Raw genomic sequence first — 21,403 nt, 5'->3', positions numbered from 1 at the left:
TGCCTAGGCCAATGTCCAGAATATTTTTTCCTATGTTTTATTTTAGGGTTTTTATAATTTTACATCTTATATTTAATTCTTTAATCTATCTTGAGTTCATTTATACATATGATGAGAAATATGGATCTAGTTTCATTCTTTGCATATGGCTACTCAATGTTTTCAGCATCATTTTTCAAATAGGATGTCCTCTCTCAAATGTTTGGCTTTGTCCACTTTTTCAAAGATCAGTTCATTGTGGATAGGTGGCTTTATTTCTGGGTTCTCTACTCTGTTCCATTTATCTATGTGTCTATTTTTATACCAGTACTATGCTTTTTTGTTTACTATATCCTTATAGTATAATTTGAAATCAGGTAATGTGATGCCTCCAGATTTGCTTTGGCTTTCAAGTTTTTTGGTTGCACATAAACATCAAAATTGTTTTTTTCTAATTCTTTTAAAAAGGATGTTCATAATTTCATAAATATTGCATGGTGTTTATGCTTAGAACTTTCTTGATCATCTCTTGTAGGGGCAGTCTAGTGAAAAATTCCCTTAGCATTTGCTTATCTGGGAAAGACTTTATTTCTCCTTCATTTATGAAGCTTAGTTTAGCGGGATACAAAATTTGTTCTTGGCAGTTTTTTTTTTTCTTCAAGAAGTCTAAAAATAGAACCCAAATCTCTTGCAAGGTTTCTGGTGAGCAGTCCACTGTTAGTCTGCTGGGATTCCTCCTATAGTTGATTTGATGCTTTTCTCTTGCTAATTTTAGGATTTTTTCCTTCACGTTGACTTTAGATACTCAAAGACTGTGTATGTTTTGGTGAAGTTTGTCGTGCAACATATCCTGTTGAAGTTTTAAGCCTCTTGTATCTAGATGTCTAAATCTCCAGCAAGACTAGAAAAGTTTCCTTAATTATTTCCTTAAGTAGATTTTCCAAACATTTTACTACTACTTCTACCTCTGGAATACCTATGACTCATATTTTCAGACATTTTATGTAATCCCATACCTCTAGAAACCTTTGTACATTTAAAAAAATCTTACATTTTAGACTGATTGGATTCATTTGAAAGATCTGTTCAAGCTCTGAGATCCTTCCTTCTGCTTGATTTAGTACATCATTAAAGCTTTCAACTGTATTTTGTCATTACTTTACTGAATTTTTCATTTCCAGAAGTTTTTTTGATATCTCTTTAGTATCTTTTTCATTCATATCCTGAATTCTTTTTCTAATTTGTGTTGGTTTTCAACTTTGATTTCATTGAGCTTCTTTAAAGTCAGCATTTTAAATTCTTTCTGGTAGTTCAAAGATTTCATTTTGGTTTGTATCCATTGCTAGAGAGTTAATGTGATCCTTTGGGGATATTTTAATACCGTTTTTTCATACTTCAGAGTTGTTTCTCTGGTTTCTTACTTGGATAAACTGTATCTTTTTACTTTTGAATTTACTTTCATATTTAGATAGGATTTTTCCGACTTGAGGATGTGACTATAATGTATGTTGTGTGGGTTTGTTTGGCTTTGCTTCTGGGTGCTTTAAGTGGCAAAGACACTGTGTGAGTTCCTTGGTTATAGATAGCCTTTATGTAGTGACTTTTTCTACTGTTGTTTGTAGTAGCAATGTACTGGGCATATTAGCAGGCTCACTGTCCCCTATGGGGCTGGGATGGCAGAGTTCTCAGGAATCTTTTCTTGTTCCCCAGTGCTGTGCACTTTTGTCAGCAGATTTTGTATTAGGTTGTGCAGTTCAACCTCCAAGTCATTAGGTGATGCTTGTTAGTAAGAGTTGGCTAGGGCTGATACAGATAGGTATATATTTGATCTTTGTTTACTAGGAGAAGCTCTCTGATGCCTCAGGCAATGGGGTTGTCTGTGGAATGCACAGTGGCCTGAGCTCCCTGATCAGCCGGTGATGGGACAAAGCTGGCTGGAACTGAACTACCAATCCCACCTTTGGATACTTCAGTGGCAGGGATAAGTACCAGTCCTGACTGGAGGAGTTGGTTAGGGGCAGCTCCTGATGAAATGCCCCAAGGTATCTGTGTGTGGGGGGGCGGGGGAAGGGGTTGCCCCAGCTCCATGGCCTGAGCAGGGAGGAATGTCATCTTTCTATCCTGGAAAGATAGAACACTGCTGTCTTTCTATAGATAGAAACACTGCTGTCTATCTCCAGGCTGCAATGTAGCTGAGTGCCATGAAAAACACCTGTCCCATGGCTTACTTCTGAAATGTCTTCTGCACAGAATCTCCTCCCTCAGTCCAAAACACATAGCTCTTCTACTCTCTACCTCAGGTACAATGCTGCTCTGTGCAGAGAGTGGGAGGAGCCCGCCTTTTGTGTAAACCTAGGCCTCATTGGCCCACTGCCACTGGGGAAGCAGCTGCCCATAACATCCCTAGAATGGCCATCCTTCAGTATGCCTGTGCCAAACTCCCATGGGTACTGCTATGGCTGTGCCCACAGCAGTGGGTAGGCATGGAGGAGAAATCCCACTCTCCAGTCATGCGCAAGCACCAAGGCCACCTGGCCCCTGGCGTAGAGTCACACTATTCCCTTGCAAAGCCAAACACACTGCCATTATCTACACTGGAGGCAATGTAGTCACTCTCAGCCCACATTTGGGGAGCTCTTGTATACAGGAAATCATGTACTCTGTTTTCTTTTGTCCCAAGGGACAAAGGACTAAGTGCAGCTCTTCTGGGGTGCTGTATTCTCTCATCCCCTAGGAGCAGCACTCTTTGAGGGCTAGTCCACTAGGAACCCTGAAGGTCCACTGGGTCCAGCCAGCCCTGTGACTGCTGCAATCTGAGCAGGTGCCAAGAGATATCTGCAGGGGCTCCAATGACGTGGAGACACAAGGGCAAAGTTCCCTGGGCAGGACACAGTTCCCTAGTGGGTACACTTCTAGTAGGGCACCCGCTACTGCCACTTGGGATTGAGGTAAGGGCAAGTAACCTAGCACAAGCTGGTAGTTTGGTGTATTAGCCTCAAGAAGTCCCCAAATGCACATATGAGCATTTGGGTTCACAAGATCAGAGAAGCTGTCTCACAGTTCAGGTAACAGCAGTCTTCTGCAGGTGCAGGGGGAGGCAAAAACATTCCTATCTACCCTTTTGTGAGGTAATACCATGTCCCTCTCTAAGTTCTGCCAGCTCTTGTTTCCTTCTTTTTCTGTGCCCTAACTACTTCCCAAGAGTTTTCCACTAGACTCAAGCACTCTCCACTTGATTCCATTTGAGTTATGATTATTCACCTGCAAATCTGGCTCTTATTTCTGAGAACTGGTGTCTGACATCTCTAGTCAGCTATTTTCTATGCATGTTCTGTTACAGGAAAAGTTTCCTGTCCCCTGGTATAAAGCATTACTCAAAGAAAGCTACCTCAAAGTAGATGGAAAAAGACTCCGTTTCTCAGACTCCACGTCACCCTTCGGCTACCAGTATGTTCGTTTGCTCCCATTTAAAGAAACTTTTTGAAAAAGTTTTCTATGCTCTCTCCAATTTCTCTCCTCACATTTTCTTTTGAATTTAGTACACTTAAACTTTTGCCTTCATTGAAATTTCTCTTATCAGCATCATCGGTGTTATAAATTTAAGGTAAAATTTTCAGGCCTCTTGTTGTTTGATATAGCAGCAGTGTCTGACATGATTGGGCACATTCAAAACTTTTTTTTTTTTTTTTTGTCTTGGCTTCTTCACCACATGTTTTCTTGCTTCACTGATTGCTTCTTCTCAGCCTCCTTTGCTGATCTTTTATCTTCCTGGCCTCTTAATGCTGGGTGCTCCAGGTTCAGTTCTTGGTCCTCTTATCTATCTAAATTGCCTCGGTGATTCTATCTAGTTTCACAACATTAATTAACATCTACATAGTCAGAACTTCCAAATTTCTATCTCTAACCTGGACCTGTCCTCTGATTCATACATCCAGTTTGGCATCTTTATTTGGACACCTCCAAACAGAACCTGTCCAAACAGAAAACCTAATAATCCCTCTGAAACCTGCTATCCCCAAAGTCTTTGCATGTCTGTTAATGTAAGCTCCATTTTTTCCAATTGCTCAGGCCAAAACCCTTTGAATGATTTTTGACTCCTCTTGCTCACACTTCACATTCAATCTATTTGCAAATTCTGTTGACTCTACTTTATCTATCTAAACACCACCCACTTCTTATCACCTCTTTTGCTAAAGTTGTAGTCCAAGTGACATGGTTTGAATGTGTCTCCCAATGTTTGTGTTGGAAACCTAATCCCCAATGCAAAAATATTGAGAGGTGGGACATTTAAGAGTTAAGTCATGAAAGTTTTGCCTTAATGAATGGGTTAATGTCATTATCTCAGGAGTGTATTGGTTATTGTCAGAGTGGGTTTGTTATAAAAGTAAGTTTGGTCCCCTTTTGCTCCCCTTCACTCTCTTGCCCATGAGATGCCTTTTACCATGTGAGGATGTGGCAAGTAGACGCTCATCAGATGTCAGCCCCTCAATCTTGGACTTCCTAGCCTCCAGAACTGTAAGCCAAATTTCTTTCCTTTATAAATTACCTAGTCTGTGGTATTCTGTTACAACAGCATTAAACAGACTAAGACACCAAGCCATTGCCATCTCTTACTTGAATTAATAAAATAGCTTTTGACTCATCTCCCAGCTTTTCCCCTTCATCTCTTTTATCCATTCACAACACAAGAATTAGAATATTCCCGTTTGTATGTAATTTAAATCACATAACTCCCCTATTTGCAACTTTTCAATGGTCCCATCTCAGTGAGAATAAAAGCCAAAGTCCTTCAAATGGCCTACATGAACCTATGTGATCTGGCCCTATTATGCCTCTGTCCTTATATGCCACCACTTTGTCAGGCATGAAAATGAAATGTGTGCAGCAGATCTCCTGCTGCAGAGAGAATTGACTGACAGCTTCAACTGCTGTGGTCAGAAATCTGTCACTAAATTCATGACAAGGCCATGCTTCCCATGGGCTTCTCTCAATGACTAAGCACGGCCAGGATACTCAATATAAGACCATTCGTAGAATAGTCAGGATTCCTCTGATGGGAAGCTTTAGCTCATAGACTCCCCATTAGCCTGTTCAGAACTTTTCTAGCACTGTGCTGCAATCTGAGACTCCTGATACCCAAACCTCCTTCAGAGGGATCAGACATAGATGATGGTCTGAGGCTTTCCCTACCTCTTGCGAATCCTCCCTCTTTGCCCTCACAAGTGTTTCTCCCATCAAATAACCTATAAGCATCTTTCAAAATTTTGTGAAATTATGGCATATAATTTTTCATTTTAAGACATTGACTCTAATTTGATATTTGACAGCTATTTCTCATGATGTGGGCAGTGAGTTCGAGAATTTATTTTTCATACTGCAGCTCATTAGCTATACTAAGTCAAAGTTATAAATAGTTCATATTAGGGCAAGAAATACCCCTACCATTTTGGCAAATAACTCCATTAGATGAATCTTTCTAAAACACAAAATGGTTGCTTTAGCTTATATATTTTTGTGAAACTTTTAATGAGCAGAACCTCAATTTAGCAATACAAGGTTGAAGAATTATTACATTTATAACTGCAAGTGAAATGTCAGTGTTGAAACAGATGTCAAATTTTTATTCACTTTTCTAAATTAAAATACATAAATTTGACTCTATGGAAACGTTAAAGAACTGTTTGATAAAAACCACTGAGGAATGTGAAATTTTACTAAATGACATCATTAAACCTCTAAGACTATTTGAAGATGTTTGAAAAAATGTTTTCTATTGAGAAAGATTACAAACTGGCTGAGGACCCACTTGTTGACTTTCTCTTGAGAAAACATTTTGTTATTAAGGACTCTGAATAATCGATACATATTAGTCAAGGCACTGGGAGATTTGGTGTCTGGTAGGGGCCTGCTCTCTGGTTCTATATGGTGTCTTTTCCCTGTGTGTTCACATGGTCAAAGGGACAAGGGAGCTCTCTGAGGGTTTCTTAATGCCCTTTTCATAAGGGCATTAATCCCATTCATGAGGGCTCTAGTCTCAGGATCTAATCACCTTCCAGAGGTCACATCTCCTAATAACATCATTTTGAGGTTAGAATTTCAACACAAGAAATTTGGGAGACAGATATTTATATCATCATGCCAATCTTGCTTCTGAATCAGGTTATCGTGAAGACAGACATTGGAAAAGGTAACTGCAATAATGACAGTTGGTTATTTGACATTTTCTAGGAATATTAACCATGCTGAAGAATTCACATATTTGTTACATTTTGCAGTATAAGCTTTGGAGGAATAAGTATGAGCAAACACGAGGACTAAAATACATTCCTTGCTATCCCTTCCTCCATACTGTCTCCTCAGCAATGGTTCATGGCCTAAATGTGAAGTGTTCATTGTATTTGTTCAGAGTACATTACTTTCAGCTCTGTTTTTCACCTGTAACTATCCACTATGTATTCTCATCTCTTCTGTTAAAACGTACAAAAGTGAGGGTGTAAAAACACTACAATGCCCTTACAGTAATGGGATTTTTTGCTCTGAATTGGGAACATAAGGGACATATTAAATGGAACATGCCAAAATGCTAAGGCAGCATGAGGGAGACCATCTGTCTCAATATTTTTTCTAGTTAATTTTAAGTGAGCAAAAGATTAAAAATACGTTTTCCTAGTCCTTGCATCTTCACAGAGGAAATCCATTAAAGCAGGAGCTTTGCCATTTGCCATTCCCTTATCTGTCTCCGAGTTACCAGCATTTAAATGAAGTTATGAAGCATCTAGGAAGGGAAAGGGTTTGGAAGAGGGAGAGTGTTAAAAAGTGATAGATTTCTTTGCTGACTGTATTAGTTTCCTATTGCTGCTGTAACAAATTATTACAAACACTGTGGCTTAAACAACACAATTTATACTACAGTTCTGTAGGGTAGAAATATAAAATGGGTCTTACTGGGCTAAATTTAAGGTATCTACCGTGCTACACTTTTTTTTTTTTAAAAAGGATCTAGTATCTGAGTTCTCTGGTAGATCAAAGAATAGTTGTTTCCTTGTCTTTGGCAGCTTCTAAAAATACCTTCTCATTCTTCAGCCTGTGGTCCCTTCCTCCATCTTCAAAGCCAGCAATGTTGCATCTCTGACAGAAAGGACATTGTTTAAGTATGTAATGGGTAACAAGTAAAACCTGAATACAATTTATTAGATGAAAATTAACTATAGTGCTAATCGTACATTTACTAAGCTTAGCACAACTTATATTTCACAGTCCCATTTCAAGAATGAATGGCTGGTTCAGTATTCATTTTTAAGCATATTTTTAATTCTTTTATTTCAGTAGTTTTTGGGGAACAGGTGGGGTTTTTTTGTTACATGGATAAGTTCTTGAGTGGTAATTTTTGAGATTTTGACGCATGCATCACCTAAGCAGTGTACACTGTACTTAAGTATAGTCTTTTATCCATCACCCCCATCCTACCCTTCCCCACGAGTCCCCAAAGTTCATAATATCATTCTTGTGCCTTTGCATCCTCATAGCTTAGATCCCACTTAAAAGTGAGAACATATGATACTTGATTTTCCATTCCTGAGTTACTTCACTTAGAATGGTCTCCAGCTCCATCCAGGTTGCTGCCAGTGCCATTATTTTGTTTCTTTATACGGCTGAGTAGTATTCCACTGTGTATACACACATTTTCTTTTTCCATTCGTTGGTTCATGGGCATTTAGGCTGGTTTCACATATTTGCAGTTGTGAATTATGCTATTGTAAACATGTGTCTGCAAGTGTCTTTTTCATATAATGACTCCTTTACTCTGGGTAGATAGCTAGTAGTGGGATTGCTGGATCAAACGGTAGATCTACTTTTTGTTCTTTAAGGAATCTCTATACTGTTTTCCATAGTGTTTGTACTAGTTTACATTCCCAGTAGCATTGTAAAAGTACTCCCTTTTCAACACATCCATGCCAACATCTATGATTTTTTGATTGCTTAATTATGGCCATTCTTGCAGGGGTAAGGTGGCATCTCATTTTGCTTTTAGTTTGCATTTTTCCTGATAACTAGAGATCTTGAGCATTTTTCACGTTTGGCCATTTGTATATCTCTTGAGAATTGTCTACTAATGTCCTTTGTCCACTTTTTGATGTGATTATTTTTTTCTCTTGCTGATTTGAGTTCCTTGTAGATTCTGGATATTCTTTGTTGGATACTTAGTTTGAGAATATTTTCTCCCATTCTGTAAGTTGTTGGTTTAACTCTGCTGATAACTTATTTTGCTGTGCATAAGCTTTTAGTTCAATTAGGTTCTGTCTATTTATCTTTGTTATTGATGGATTTGCTGTTGGGTTCTTGGTGACGAAGTCTTTGCCAATGTCTAGAAGGGAGGGTTTTTCCAATGTTCTAGAATTTTTATGGTTTCAGGTCTTAGATTTAAGTCTTTGATCCATCTTGAGTTAATTTTTGTATAGGGTGAGAGATGAGGATCCAGTTTCATTCTTCTACACATGGCTTGCCAATTATTCCAGCACCATTTCTTGAAAAGGTTGTCCTTTCTCCACTTTGTTTTTGTTTGCTTTGTTGAAGGTCAGTTGACTGTAAGTATTTGGCTTTATTTCTGGATTCTCTATTCTGTTCTGTTGGTCTATGTGCCTATTTTTATACCAACACCATGCTGTTTTGATAACTATAGCCTTTGTAGCACAGTTCAAAGTCAGGTAATGTGATGCCTCCAGATTTGTTCTTTTTGCTTAATCTTGCTTTGGCTATGTGGGCTCTTTTTTGGTTCTATATGTATTTTAGGATTTTTTTTTTCTAGTTCTGTGAGGAATGATGCTGCTTTGACAGGAATTGCATTAATCTGTGGATTGCTTTTGGAAGTATTGGTCGTTTTTGCAATATTGATTCTACCCATCCATGAGCATGGGATGTGTGTTAATTTGTGTCATTAATGATTTCTTTCAGCAGTGTCTTTTAGTTTTCCTTGTAGAAGCCTTTCACCTGCTTAGGTATGTTCCTATTTTTTTGCAGCTGTTGTAAAAGGAATTGAGTTATTGATTTCATTCTGAGCTTGGTCATTGTTGGTCTATAGCAGTGCTACTGATTTGTGTACAATAATTTTGTATGCTGAAATTACTGAATTCAGTTATCACACCTAGGAGCTTTTTAGATGAGTCTCTAGGGTTTTCTAGGTATACAATCATATCATCAGCAAACAACAGTTTGATTTCCTCTTTACTGATTTGGATGCCCTTTATTTCTTTTGTTTGATTGCTCTGGCTAGGACTTCCAGGACCATGTTGAATAGAAATGGTAAAAGTGGGCATCCTTGTCTTGTTCCAATTCTCGGGGGGGAATACTTTCAACTTTTCCCCATTCACTATAATGTTGGCTGTGGGTTTCTCATAGATGGTTTTTATTACCTTTGAGGTATGTCCCTTCTGTGCCAAGTTTGCTGGGGTTTTTAATCATAAAGGGATGCTCAATTTTGTCAAACTTTTCAGCATCTATTGAAATGATCATATTTTTCTTTTAAATTCTGTTTATGTGCTGTATCACATTTATTGACTTGCTTATCTTAAACCATCCCTGCATCCCTGGTATGAAACCCACTTGATCATGGTATATTATCTTTTTTAATATGCTATTGGATTCATTTAGCTAGTATCTTGTGGATTTTTGTACCTATTCTTCAGGGATATTGGTCTGTAGTTTCTGTTTGTTTGTTATATCCTTTCCTGATTGGGAGATTAGGATGATTCCGGCTTCATAGAATGATTTATAGAGGATTCCCTTTTTCTTTTGGATTAATTTCAGTAAAATTGGTATCAATTCTTCTTTGAATGTCTGATAGAATTCAGCTGTGAATCCATCTAGTCCTGGGCTTTTTGTTTGGCAATTTCTTACTGTTTCAATCCTGCTACTTGTTATTGGTCTATTCAGTTTCTATTTTTTTTCCTGGCTTAATCTAGGAGGGCTGTATATTCTCAGGAATTCATCTCCTCTAGGTTTTCTAGTTTGTGTGTGTGTGAAGGTGTTCACAGTAGCCTTGAATGATCTTCCGTATTTCTGTAGTATTGGTTCTAATAGCTCCAATTTCTTTTTCTTTTTCTTTTTTTTTCTTTTGGAGATGGAGTCTCATTCTGTAGCCCAGGCTGGAGTGCAATGGTGCAATCTTGGCTCACTGAAACCTCCACCTCCTGAGTTCAAGTGATTCTCCTGCCTCAGCCTCCCGAGTAGCTGGGGCTACAGGTGTGTGCCATCACGCCCGGCTAACTTTTTGTTTCTTTAGTAGAGACTGGGTTTCACAGTGTAAGCCAGAATGGTCTCAATCTCCTGACCTCCATGATCTGCCAACCTGGCCTCCCAAAGTGCTAGGATTACAGGTGTGAGCCACCACGCCTGGCCCCATTTCATTTCTAATTGAGCTTATTTGGATCTTCTTTCTTTTCTTGGTTCAACTCATTAATGGTCTATCAATTTTGTTTTTCTTTTCAAAGACCCAGGTTTTTGTTTCATTTATCTTTTGTATTTTTTATTTTGGTTTAATTTTAATAGTTCCACTGTGATCTTTGTTATTTCTTTTCTTCTGCTGGTTTTGGGTTTGAATTGTTCATTTTTCTCCAGTTCCCTGAGGTGTGACCTTAGATTGTTTATCCTTTTTCAGACTTTTTTGATGTGGGCATTTAATGCTATGAACTTTCCTCTCAGCACTACTTTTGCTGTATCACAGAGGTTTTGATAGGTTGTGCCAGTATTATTCAGCTCAAAAAATAATTTCTGTCTTAACTTCATTGTTAATCCAAAGATCATTCAAGAGCAGATTATTTAATTTCCATGTATTTGTATAGTTTAGGGTTTCTTTTGGAGTTAATTTCCAGTTTTATTCCAATGTAGTCTGAGAGGATACTTGACACAGTTTTGGTTTTCTTTTTTTTTTTTTTTTTTTTTTTTTGAGATGGAGTTTCGCTGTCTCGCCCAGGCTGGAGTGCAGTGGCACGATCTCAGCTCACTGCAAGCTCTGCCTCCCAGGTTTATGCCATTCTCCCGCCTCAGCCTCCCAAGTAGCTGGGACTACAAGCACCCGCCACCACGCCCTGCTAATTTTTTGTATTTTTAGTAGAGACAGGGTTTCACCGTGTTAGCCAGGATGGTCTTGATCTCCTGACCTCGTGATCCACCCACCTCGGCCTCCCAAAGTGCTGGGATTACAGGCATGAGCCACTGCACCCGGCCATAGTTTTGGTTTTCTTAAATTTATTGAGACTTCTTTTGTGACCTATCATATAGTTTATCTTAGAGAATATTCCATGTGCTGGAAAAAAGAATGTATATTCTGCAGTTGTTGGAGAGAATGTTCTGTAAATATCTGTTAAGTCCATTTGTTCTATGGAATAGTTTAAGTCCATTGTTTTTGTTGACTTTCTGTCTTGATGACCTGTCTAGTGCTGTCAGTGAAGTATTGAAGTCCCCGGATATTATTGTGTTGCTGTCTATCTCATTTCTTAGGTCTAGTAGCAATTGTTTTATAAATTTGGGAGCTCCAGTGTGACATGCATATATATTTAGGACTGTGATATTTTCTTGTTGGACTAATCTTTTTATCATTATATAATGTCCCTCTTTGGTGTGTGTGTGTGTGTGTGTGTGTGTGTGTGTGTGTGTGTTTCTGTTGCTTTAAAGCCTGTTCTCTCTGATACAAGAATAGCTACTCTGCTCACTTTTGGTTTTCGTTTGTATGGAATATCTTTTTCTACCCCTTTACTTTGAGTTTGTGTGTACTTATGTGTTAGGTGAGTCTCTTGAAGACCACCAATACCTGGTTGGTGGATTTTTATCCATTCTGCCATTCTGTATCTTTTAAGTGGAACATTTAGGCCATTTACATTCAATATTAATATTGACATGTGGGGTACTGTTCTATTTCATCATGCTAATTGTTGTCTTAATACCTTGATTTTTTTTTTCATTGTGTTTTATAGGCCCTGTGAGATTTATTCTTTAAGGAGGTTCTATTTTGGTATATTTTGAGGTTTTGTTTCAAGATTTAGAACTCCTTTTAGCAAATTATCTCGGCATTTGCTAGTCTGAAAAAGACTATCTCCCCTTCATGAAACTTAGTTTTTCTAGAAACAAAATTTTGGATGACAATTATTTTGTTTCAGGAGGCTAAAGATGAGACCTTAAACTCTTCTGTCTTGTAAGGTTTCTGCTGAGAAATGTGCTGTTAATCGGATAGGTTTTCCTTTGTAGGTTATCTGATGCTTTTGTCTCAAAGCTCTTGAGATTCTTTCCTTCATGTTGAATTTAAATAACCTGATGACTATGTGCCTAGGTGATGGTCTTTTTACAATGAATTTTCCAGGTGTTCTTTGTGCTTCTTATATTCAGATATATAGCTCTCTGACAATGCCAGGAAAGTTTTCCTCGATTATTCCCCCAAATATGTTTTCAAAACTTGTAGATTTCTCTTCTTCCTCATGAATACCAATTCTTAGGTTTTGCCATTTAATATAATCCCAAATTTCTTGGCTTTGTTCATTATTTTTAATTGTTTTTTATTTTTCCTTGTATGATTAATTCAAAAGCCTTGTCTTTGAGCTCTGAAGTTGTTCTATTTAGTCTATTCTTGAAACTTTCCACTGCATTTTGTATTTCTTTAAGTGTATTTCATTTCCAGAAGTTGTGATTGTTTTCTCTATTTTTCTGGAGAACTTATCCATTGATAAAAAACTTATCTGTATTGTTTTTTAAACTTATTTAAATTGTTTTTCACCTTTCCCTGGTATCTCCTTGAATAGCTGAATCAACCTTCTGAATTCTTTAGCTGGCAATTCAGAGATTTCTTCTTGTGAATCCACTGTTGGGGGGCTGGTGTAATTTTTGGGGGATGTTGTAGAACCCTGTTTTGTCATATTAGAATTACTTTTCTGGTTCCTTATCATTGAGTAGGCTATTTCAGTGTAGAGGTCTGAAACTCAAGCCTTTCTGTTTAGATTCTCTTGTCCCACATGGTGATCCCTTGATGTGCTACTCTCCTCCTTCCCCTAGGGATGGGGGTTCCTGAGAGCCCAACTGCAGTGATTGCTATTGCTCTTCTAAGTCTAGCCACCCAGTGGGGCTACCAGGCTCTGGGCTTGTGCTGGGAGATATCTGCAAAGAGTCCTGTGATCTGGTTCATCTTGAGGTCTTCCAGCCCTGGATACCAGCACCTGCTTTGGTGGAGGCAGCAGGGAAGTGAAGTAGACTGTGTGAGAGACCTTAGTTTTGTAGGTACGTTTAGTTTGCTGGCTTTCTTGAATGCTGGTTGTGCTAGCAGTGAAGTTGTCATATGGACACACTCAGTACCTCTGGTTAGCCAGGATGTTGTAGGTAGTGGAATTAGCTGTTGTCTTTTCTTTCCTGGGATCAGGATTATTTTGTCATGAGTTGCTGTAATGGCCTGAGTTTGTTAGCAGCAGGAGGTGGCACTTTCAAGAGAGCACCAGCTGCAGTAGTAGTAGGGGATCTATGCTTGTCTTAAATTGGCCAGGGTAAGTATTTTGGTTTCTCAGGCAATGGGTGGGGCCATAAAGCTCCCAAGAGTTTCTCTCTTGTCATTGGCTACCAGGGTGGGTAGAGAAATGCCATCATGTGGGGGCAGGGTTAGGCAGCTCTGGGCTCAACCTTTCCTTGAGGGGGCTTGCTGTGTGGTCTCGGTGAGGGTTGGGGGTGGTTCTCAGACCAGTCGGGTTGTGTTCCAGAGGGGAGCCTCTGCTGTGTCATACAGTTTGCCAGGAAGTGGGGGATAGCTGAGAGTCCTCATCCAGCTCCCAGGCAGTTGACAAGGCCCTCCCACAGTGCCCCCTACCCTCAGTTTCCTTCAGTCCATGAGCTTCCCCACTGAGAAAGCATAACCTCACCCCTCCCTGTCTGCCCACTCCTTGGGCTGTGGCTCCTGCCATCCTGTGCTGGAATCTACAGCAGTTCCCACTCATCCCCGGGACTCCACTCAGGAGAATTTATGCCCAGTCAAAAACACTACCAACTTCAGTTGGAAGCTTCCTTTACCCTGCTACCCCTCTCCAATTTAGCTGGGTACCTTCCCTGAGGGCCCCTGCGAGATAGTCAGGGATGGCTTCTATAAGCTAGGGCTGGAGACTGGGAGTATCTGCAAGGCACTTTCCACTGCTACTTCTACTTGTATGTTTTGTACCACTCCCTGAGTCTATTTCAGCTCTAGGTTAGGTTAAATCCTCTTATGATCTGGATTTTCAGATTCTTTAGTGTGGGTGTGTGTTCTAAGGTAAGTTTTCCTTCTCTCACACTTTAGGAACTCACAGTTTTTAGCCTGTCTTGCAGAATTTGCAGCAGCATGCTGCTTCTTTCAAAGGATATGTGAATTATTTTGTTTTCCTGGTGTGTTCCCGTGGTGGTTTTTGGAGCAAAAGATCACAGTGTGAGTCTCCACATGCTGTTTTGTCTGTCCGAGTGGGAGCTGCACATTAGCCCTGTTTCTTATCTACCATCCCAGTTCTGCATTTATTTTTAAGAACAACATCTTTCCCCTTAACCTGTTTACCTCTATAAGATTGATGGTTGCTTATGTGTTAGGTCAAACATGCAATTGGTGAGTGGGTAAAACTATTTTGTTATTACACAAGGAACACGTGTTTATTAGAGAAATTTTTGGAAAATATACATACACAAAAGGAAAAAGATAAGTCATCGGCAATCTCACTATGGAAAGTGAATCACTGGTAACATTTTGGAACATATTCTTCCAGCATTATTTCTATGCAAATATACAGAAAATAGAATATATATAGTCTATTTTAAACTTCTTTAACACCTGGAGATTGTTTCATGTCATGTCATTTTTTTTTTTTGGCATTTTAAACTAATGATAGATAGTATTCCATTATTTGAATATGCCAAAATGTTACTCTTTTCTCAATGACAGACATTTACATTTCTTTGGATTTTTCTCTATTAAATACAACTCTGTGCTGTGCAAATATCTTATTTTCATAAGGGATAAACGTCTAAAAGAGGAGCCCCGAGGTGAAAGATCATATATGGTTTAAAGACTGTTAATACGTCTTGCCAACCTTTTGTGGTGTAAGACCTAAAATTAAGGACTGACGTAATATGCTGCCTTGACATCTGGTAAAATCAGGAAGGCTTCAGATGGCCTAACTGAAAGTTTCCCTCCCTACTCTGCTCCTGCAGATAAGGTTCCCCCCAAACAATCTCTTATTACCAGGACCAAGTACAGTTCCTGCTTATCCCTGAGTAAGGAGTTTCAGTTCTTTTCCAGCCTACAGCTGGCAAGGAAGCCAATCACACACTCCAGAAGAACTAGGCACATTTCACTCTTGATACTATAAATCCTGCCTCCCACAGTGATTACATGTTCACTCTTTACAAGTGCAACCCCTGTTTGGCCCTGCATGGTGTGTAGTGTCTTCCTCCACTGGATTGTGACTGACAAATTGCTATTGATCTCACCTGTGCAGTGTCAGGTGTCATGTTTGGCCATCTCCATAACCCTAGGCTATGAATCCCTCCCTCATCAATGAGGTGAAGAGCAGGCAATTAAAATGCCTACCTTCAGAAAAATTGAATTTATTTTATGATGGTGGTTCTAAAGCATTTAAGATCATGAATCCTACACAAATCTTACGAAAATTCAGAATTCTAATTACAAACAAACGAGCTGCTGCTCAAACGTACACATTTTGCATGCAATTTCAGATTATTTAAGGGATCCTCTGAAGCACCCAGAATGACTCATGAATTTGTGAATCTTTGTTTAAAAAAAAGGATTATTACTGGCTCAATTTTAAAATACGTCATTTTTGTTCCATTGCCATGTAAAATGTGCTTCCAATAGCTTACATTTCAAGACTTTTTTATAACAATGTTACTACATATATTACCATATAGATGGACTAAATGTTAAATATGTGGGAAGAACAAATGTCTTAATAGATTCTGTTATCCAGTTAAAAAAAGAAAAGTGGTTTGATTTTGGGTGGTGGTTTTTTTTTTTTTTCAGAACTGGGAAAAAGAAGGCTAAACATACTATTTTTTGTGTCTGCTTCACATTGGGCTCCATGCCAGGCATTGCATGAGTAATAGTTCTTCAATCTTGCAAGATTATGAGAATGATGAATGTAGATTGTCATGCAGTAGATATTCCGTTATTGAGAAGCCATGAGGTACTGTAGAATTTGGATTTTGACAATAGAATGACCTGAACTCCAATCTTGATGTATCCACAGCATAATCTTAGACAGTTTACTTAAACTGTTTCATTTTTCTCATCTGTAAAACTGAAAATCAAAACAATAGTACTTATCTTGTATGGTTTATAGTCATTAAAAGTAAATGCTGATATATTAAGTACCTTCTTTAGTACCCAGCATTGGTATACATCAATAAATTTTTATTATTACCACTTCTCCTTGCAGATGTGGAAACAGGTCTAGAGGACTTGCCAGAATGTCACACAGATATCAAGTCTATGACCATAAGTTACTATCAGGGTCTGAGTCAAGTGAAAGATAATTGTAAACAGATTATAATTAGATTAATTTTCAGAATGTGTATGGCTTTCTGAAATTTCTATTAGCATACAAACATCTGTCAAAAAATAAACACTCGGGGCTAGGGAATAAGAATACATCTTAATTTTCTTAATGTTTATGTTTAAGGGGTACAAGTACAGATTTCTTACGTGAATGTATTGCATAATGGTGAAGTCTGGGCCCTTAGTGTAGCCATCACCTGAATAGTGAACATTATACCCAGTAGGTGATTTTTTTAACCCTTACCCCCTCCGACCTCCCACCATTTTAAGTATCTAATGCCTGTTATTCCACTCTGTATATCCATGTGTACTCATTGTTTAGCTTTCACTTATAAGTGAGAACATGTGATAGTTGACTTTCTATTTCTGAGTTACCTCACTTAAGATAATGGCCTCCAGTTCCATCCATGTTGCTGCAAAAAACATGATTTCATTGTTTTATAACTGAGTAGTATTTCATGGTTTATATACCATATTTTCCTTCTTTAATGCTCCATTGATACTTAGTTTGTTTCCATGACTTTGCTATTGTGAATAGTGCTATAATAAACATCAGAGTGCAGGTATCTTTTTTGATATAATTCCTTTTTTTGGTGGGGGGAGATTCCCAGTAGTGGGATTGCTGGATCAAATGGTAGTGCCATTTTTAGTTCTTTCAGAAATCTCCATACTGTTTTCCATACAGGTTATATTAATTTACACTCCTGCCAAGGGTCTCTAAGTGTTCGCTTTTCTCCACATACTCACCAACATCTGTTGTTTCCTGACTTTTTAATAATAGCCCTTCTGACTGGTGTAAGATGATACCTCATTTTGGTTTTAATTTGAATTTCTCTGATTTGTGATATTGAGCATTTTTTCATAAATGTATTGACCATTTGCATGTCTTCTTTTGAAAAATGTTTATTCTTATCCTTGGCCCACTTTTTAATGGGACTGTTTGCTTTTTTGTTATTGAGTTGTTTGAATTTATTGTAGATTCTGGATGTTAGCCCTTTGTCAGATGCAACACTTGCAAACATCTGTAGGTTTTTTTGTTTTTCTTTACAGACGCTTTAAGTCCCATTTGTCTATTTTTGGTTTCATTACATTTGCTTTTGATGACTTAGTCATTAATTATTTTCCTAGGCCAATGTCCAGAAGAATTTCCTAGGTTTTCTTCTAGTATTTTTATAGTTTCAGGTTTTACATTTATGTCTTTATCTTGAGTTAATTCTTGTATATGGTGAGAGGTACGGATCCAGTTTCATTTTTCTACATATGACTACCCAATTTTTTCAGCACTATTTATTAAATAAGGTATACTTCTCCAGCATATATTTTCATTGACTTTGTTGAAGATCACTTGGTTGTATGTAGGTGGCTTTATTTCTGGGTTCTCTATTCTGTTCCATTGAGGTATATGTCTATTTTTATACCAGTACCATGTTGTTCTGGTTACTATAGATAGAATTATAGTATAATTTCAAGTCAGGTAATGTTATGCCTCCAGTTTTGCTCTTTTTGCTTAGGATTGCTTTGCTATTAAATCTTTTTTGATTTCATATGACCTTTAGGATTTTTTTTTTCTAATTCTGTAAAAAATGACATTGGTAATTTGACAAGAATTTCATTGAATCTGTAGAATTCTTTGGTTAGTATGGTCATGTTAATAATATTCTTCCCTTCCAAGTGCATGGGATGTTTTCCCATATATACGTGTCATCTATGATTGCTTTTATCAGTGTTTTGTAGTTCTCTTTATGCAGAAGGTATATTAGGCCATTCTTGCATTGCTATATAAAGAAGTACCTGACACTGTATAATTTATAAAGAAAAGAGGTTTGACTTGCAGTTCTTCAGGCTTTATAGGAAGCATGGTGCTGGCATCTACTCAGCTTCTAGGGAGTCCTCGAGAAGCTTACAATCATGGTGGATGTAAGCAGAAACGGGAGAGAGTGGAAGGGAGGTGCCACACACTCTGAAATGACTAGATCTCGCAACAACTTACTATTGTGAAGATAGCACCAAGCCATGAGGGATTTGCCCTGTGACCCAAACACCTCCCACCAATTCACACCTCCAATTCACACCTCCTGAATTGGGAATTACAATTCAACGTGAGATTTGGGAGGGGACGAATGTCCAAACTATGTCATTCTGCCTTTGGCCCATCCCAAATCTCATGTCCTTCTCACACTGCAAAAATACAATCATACCTTCTTAACAGTCCCCCAAAGTCTTAACTCATTCCACCATTATCTGAAAAGTCCATTGTCCAAAGTCTGATCTGAGATAAGGCAAATCCCTACCACCTATGAAACTTAACTTTTTTTTTCCCCAAGAGACAAGGGGTGAATAGGCATTGGGTAAACATTGCTATTCCAAAGTGAAAAACTGGCCAAAAGAAAGGGGCTACAGGCCTCACGCAGGTTTGAAATCCAGCAGGCAGTTACTAAATCTTAAAGTTCAAAAATAATCTCTTTTGAGTCCATGTCCCACATCCAGGGCACACTGGTGCAAGGGGTGGGCTCCCACAGTGTCGGGCAGCTCTGCCTCTGTTGTTTTTGCAGGGTTCAGCCCCGAGGCAGCTTTCAAGGCCTGGAGTTGACTGATTGTGGCTTTCCATGCTGAGGGTGCAAGCCGACAGTGGGTATACCATTCTGGAATCTGGAAGGCAGTGGATGCCATCTCATAGCTCCACCAGGCAGTGCCCCGTTGGGGACTCTGGGTGGCGGCTCCAACCCCACATTTCCCCGTGGAACTGACCTAGTAGGAATTCTCTGGGGGGGTTCTACCCTGTAGCAGCCTTCTGCCTGGGCACCCAGAATTTTCCATACATCCTCCGAAATCTAAGCAGAGGCTGCCAAATGTTCAGTCTTATATTCTGTGCACCTAAAGGCTTAACACCATGTGGAAGCTGCTAAGGCGTATGACTTGCGTTCTCCAAAGTAGCAGCCTGAGCTGTACCTGGGCCCCTTTGAGCTACAGGTAGAGCAGCTGGGATGTTGGGAACACCCTCCAGAGGCTATTTAGAGCAGCAGGGCCCTGGGACTGTGATGGGAGGGGCTGCCAGGAAGGACTCTAAAATGCCTTCAAAGCCTTTTCTCCATTGTCTTTAATGTTAGCAGTTGGCTCTCTTTCACCCATGCAAATATCTCCAGGAAGTGGTTGCTCTGCAGCTTGCTTGAATTCTTCTCCTTAAAAGCTTTTCTTTCTTTGCCATGTGGCTAGGCTGCAAATTTCCCAAACTCTAACACTCTGCTTCCTGTTTAAATATAAGTTCCAACTTTAAGTCATTCCTTTGCTACTGCATCTGAACAAAGGCTGTTAGAAGCAAAATCTTGAACACTTTGCTGCTCAGATATTTCTTCTGCCAGATATTTTAGGGTCATCACTCTCAAGCTCAAACTTCTACAGACCTCCAAGTCACGAACAGAAAGTAGCCAAGCTCTTTGCTAAAGCATAACATACCTGACCTGTGCTCCACTTCCCACTAAGTTTCTCATTTTCACCTGAGATCTCAGAAGCCTGGACTTCACTGTCCATGTCACTACCAGCATTTTGGTCGCATCCACTTAACCAGTCTGTAAGAAGTTTCAAACTTTCCTTCATCTTCCTGTCTTCTGAGGCCCCCAAACTCTTCCAACGTCTGCTTGTTACCCAGTTCCAAAGCTGCCTCCACATTTTCAATGATCTCTATTACAATGCCACAGTCCTCGGTACCAATTTTCTGTGTTAGACCATTCTTGCATTGCTAATAAATACCTAAATCTGGGTACATTAGAAATAAAATAGGTTTAATTGGCTCATGGTTCTGCAGGCTTTACAGGATGCATGACGCTGGTATCTCATTGGCTTCTAAGGAGGCCTCAGGAAGCTTATAGTCATGACTGAAGGTGAAGGGAGTAGGCGTGTCATGTGGTGAAAGTGGGATGGGGAAGGTACCACACACTTTTAAAAGATGTTATCTTGAGAGAACTCACTATTATGACGACAGCACCAAGCCATGGGGGATTTTCCCCATGACCCAAACACATTCCACCAGGCCCCACCTCCAGCATTGGAGATTACAATTCAACATGAGATTTGGGCTGGGAAAAATACACAAACTATATCAGAAGGGATGTCACATTTGACAAAAAGCAGGAATAGCTATAGCTGTCACATTTTGAGAATGCTCAAGGAACAGAGGCTCACTGGGAATTCATTTAGAAAATCTAAGTTGATGATTCATTCTCTGAGCTTCTGCCACGGTATTATCCCATAGTAGAGTCCTCTGGAGTGATACAACTGCATGCTTAGGGGTATCTGCCATATTTCAGACCCTGAGATTTTGCATACATTTTCTAATTTAAGCCCTACAACTAAAGAAGTGTACTTATCTCCATTTCATATGATGAAATTGAAAGTTTGAGAAGTTGCAGTCACCTCCTAAGAAGTAGCACAGGCTGGAAGGCAATCAAGGACTGTTTGACTGCTCTTACTTAAATTAGCTGAGGAATAAAAATACTACAATTATATGCTAATAACTATTACGATGACCAAGTATTAAATGTTTACTGCGTGCTAGGCACCTGCATAAGATAATTCATTTAATCCCCACCATAAACAGAGGACATAGATAATGTTATTACCTCTACAATGAAGCAGAAACAGAGGTTTAAAGAGTCAGTGACTTGGTCAGTCAGGACCACACAGCTAGGAAGTAGGCGAGTTAGTTTTCATACTTTCATTTCTTATACCAAGAATGAACTATGGATAAGAGCTTGAATAGGAAGACAACTTATCACACAATAATATCAAAAGAGTTTTCTGTTGCACCAGTGATTTTATTTAAAGCAATGTAACTTTCATACCCTACCTGAAGTAAATGTCTGCTAT

This window comes from Homo sapiens, chromosome X (assembly GCF_000001405.40).
Source record: "Homo sapiens chromosome X, GRCh38.p14 Primary Assembly".
NCBI classification, from domain to species: domain Eukaryota; kingdom Metazoa; phylum Chordata; class Mammalia; order Primates; family Hominidae; genus Homo; species Homo sapiens.
The sequence above is the reverse complement of the archived record's forward strand: the minus strand, read 5'-3'. Positions refer to the sequence as shown.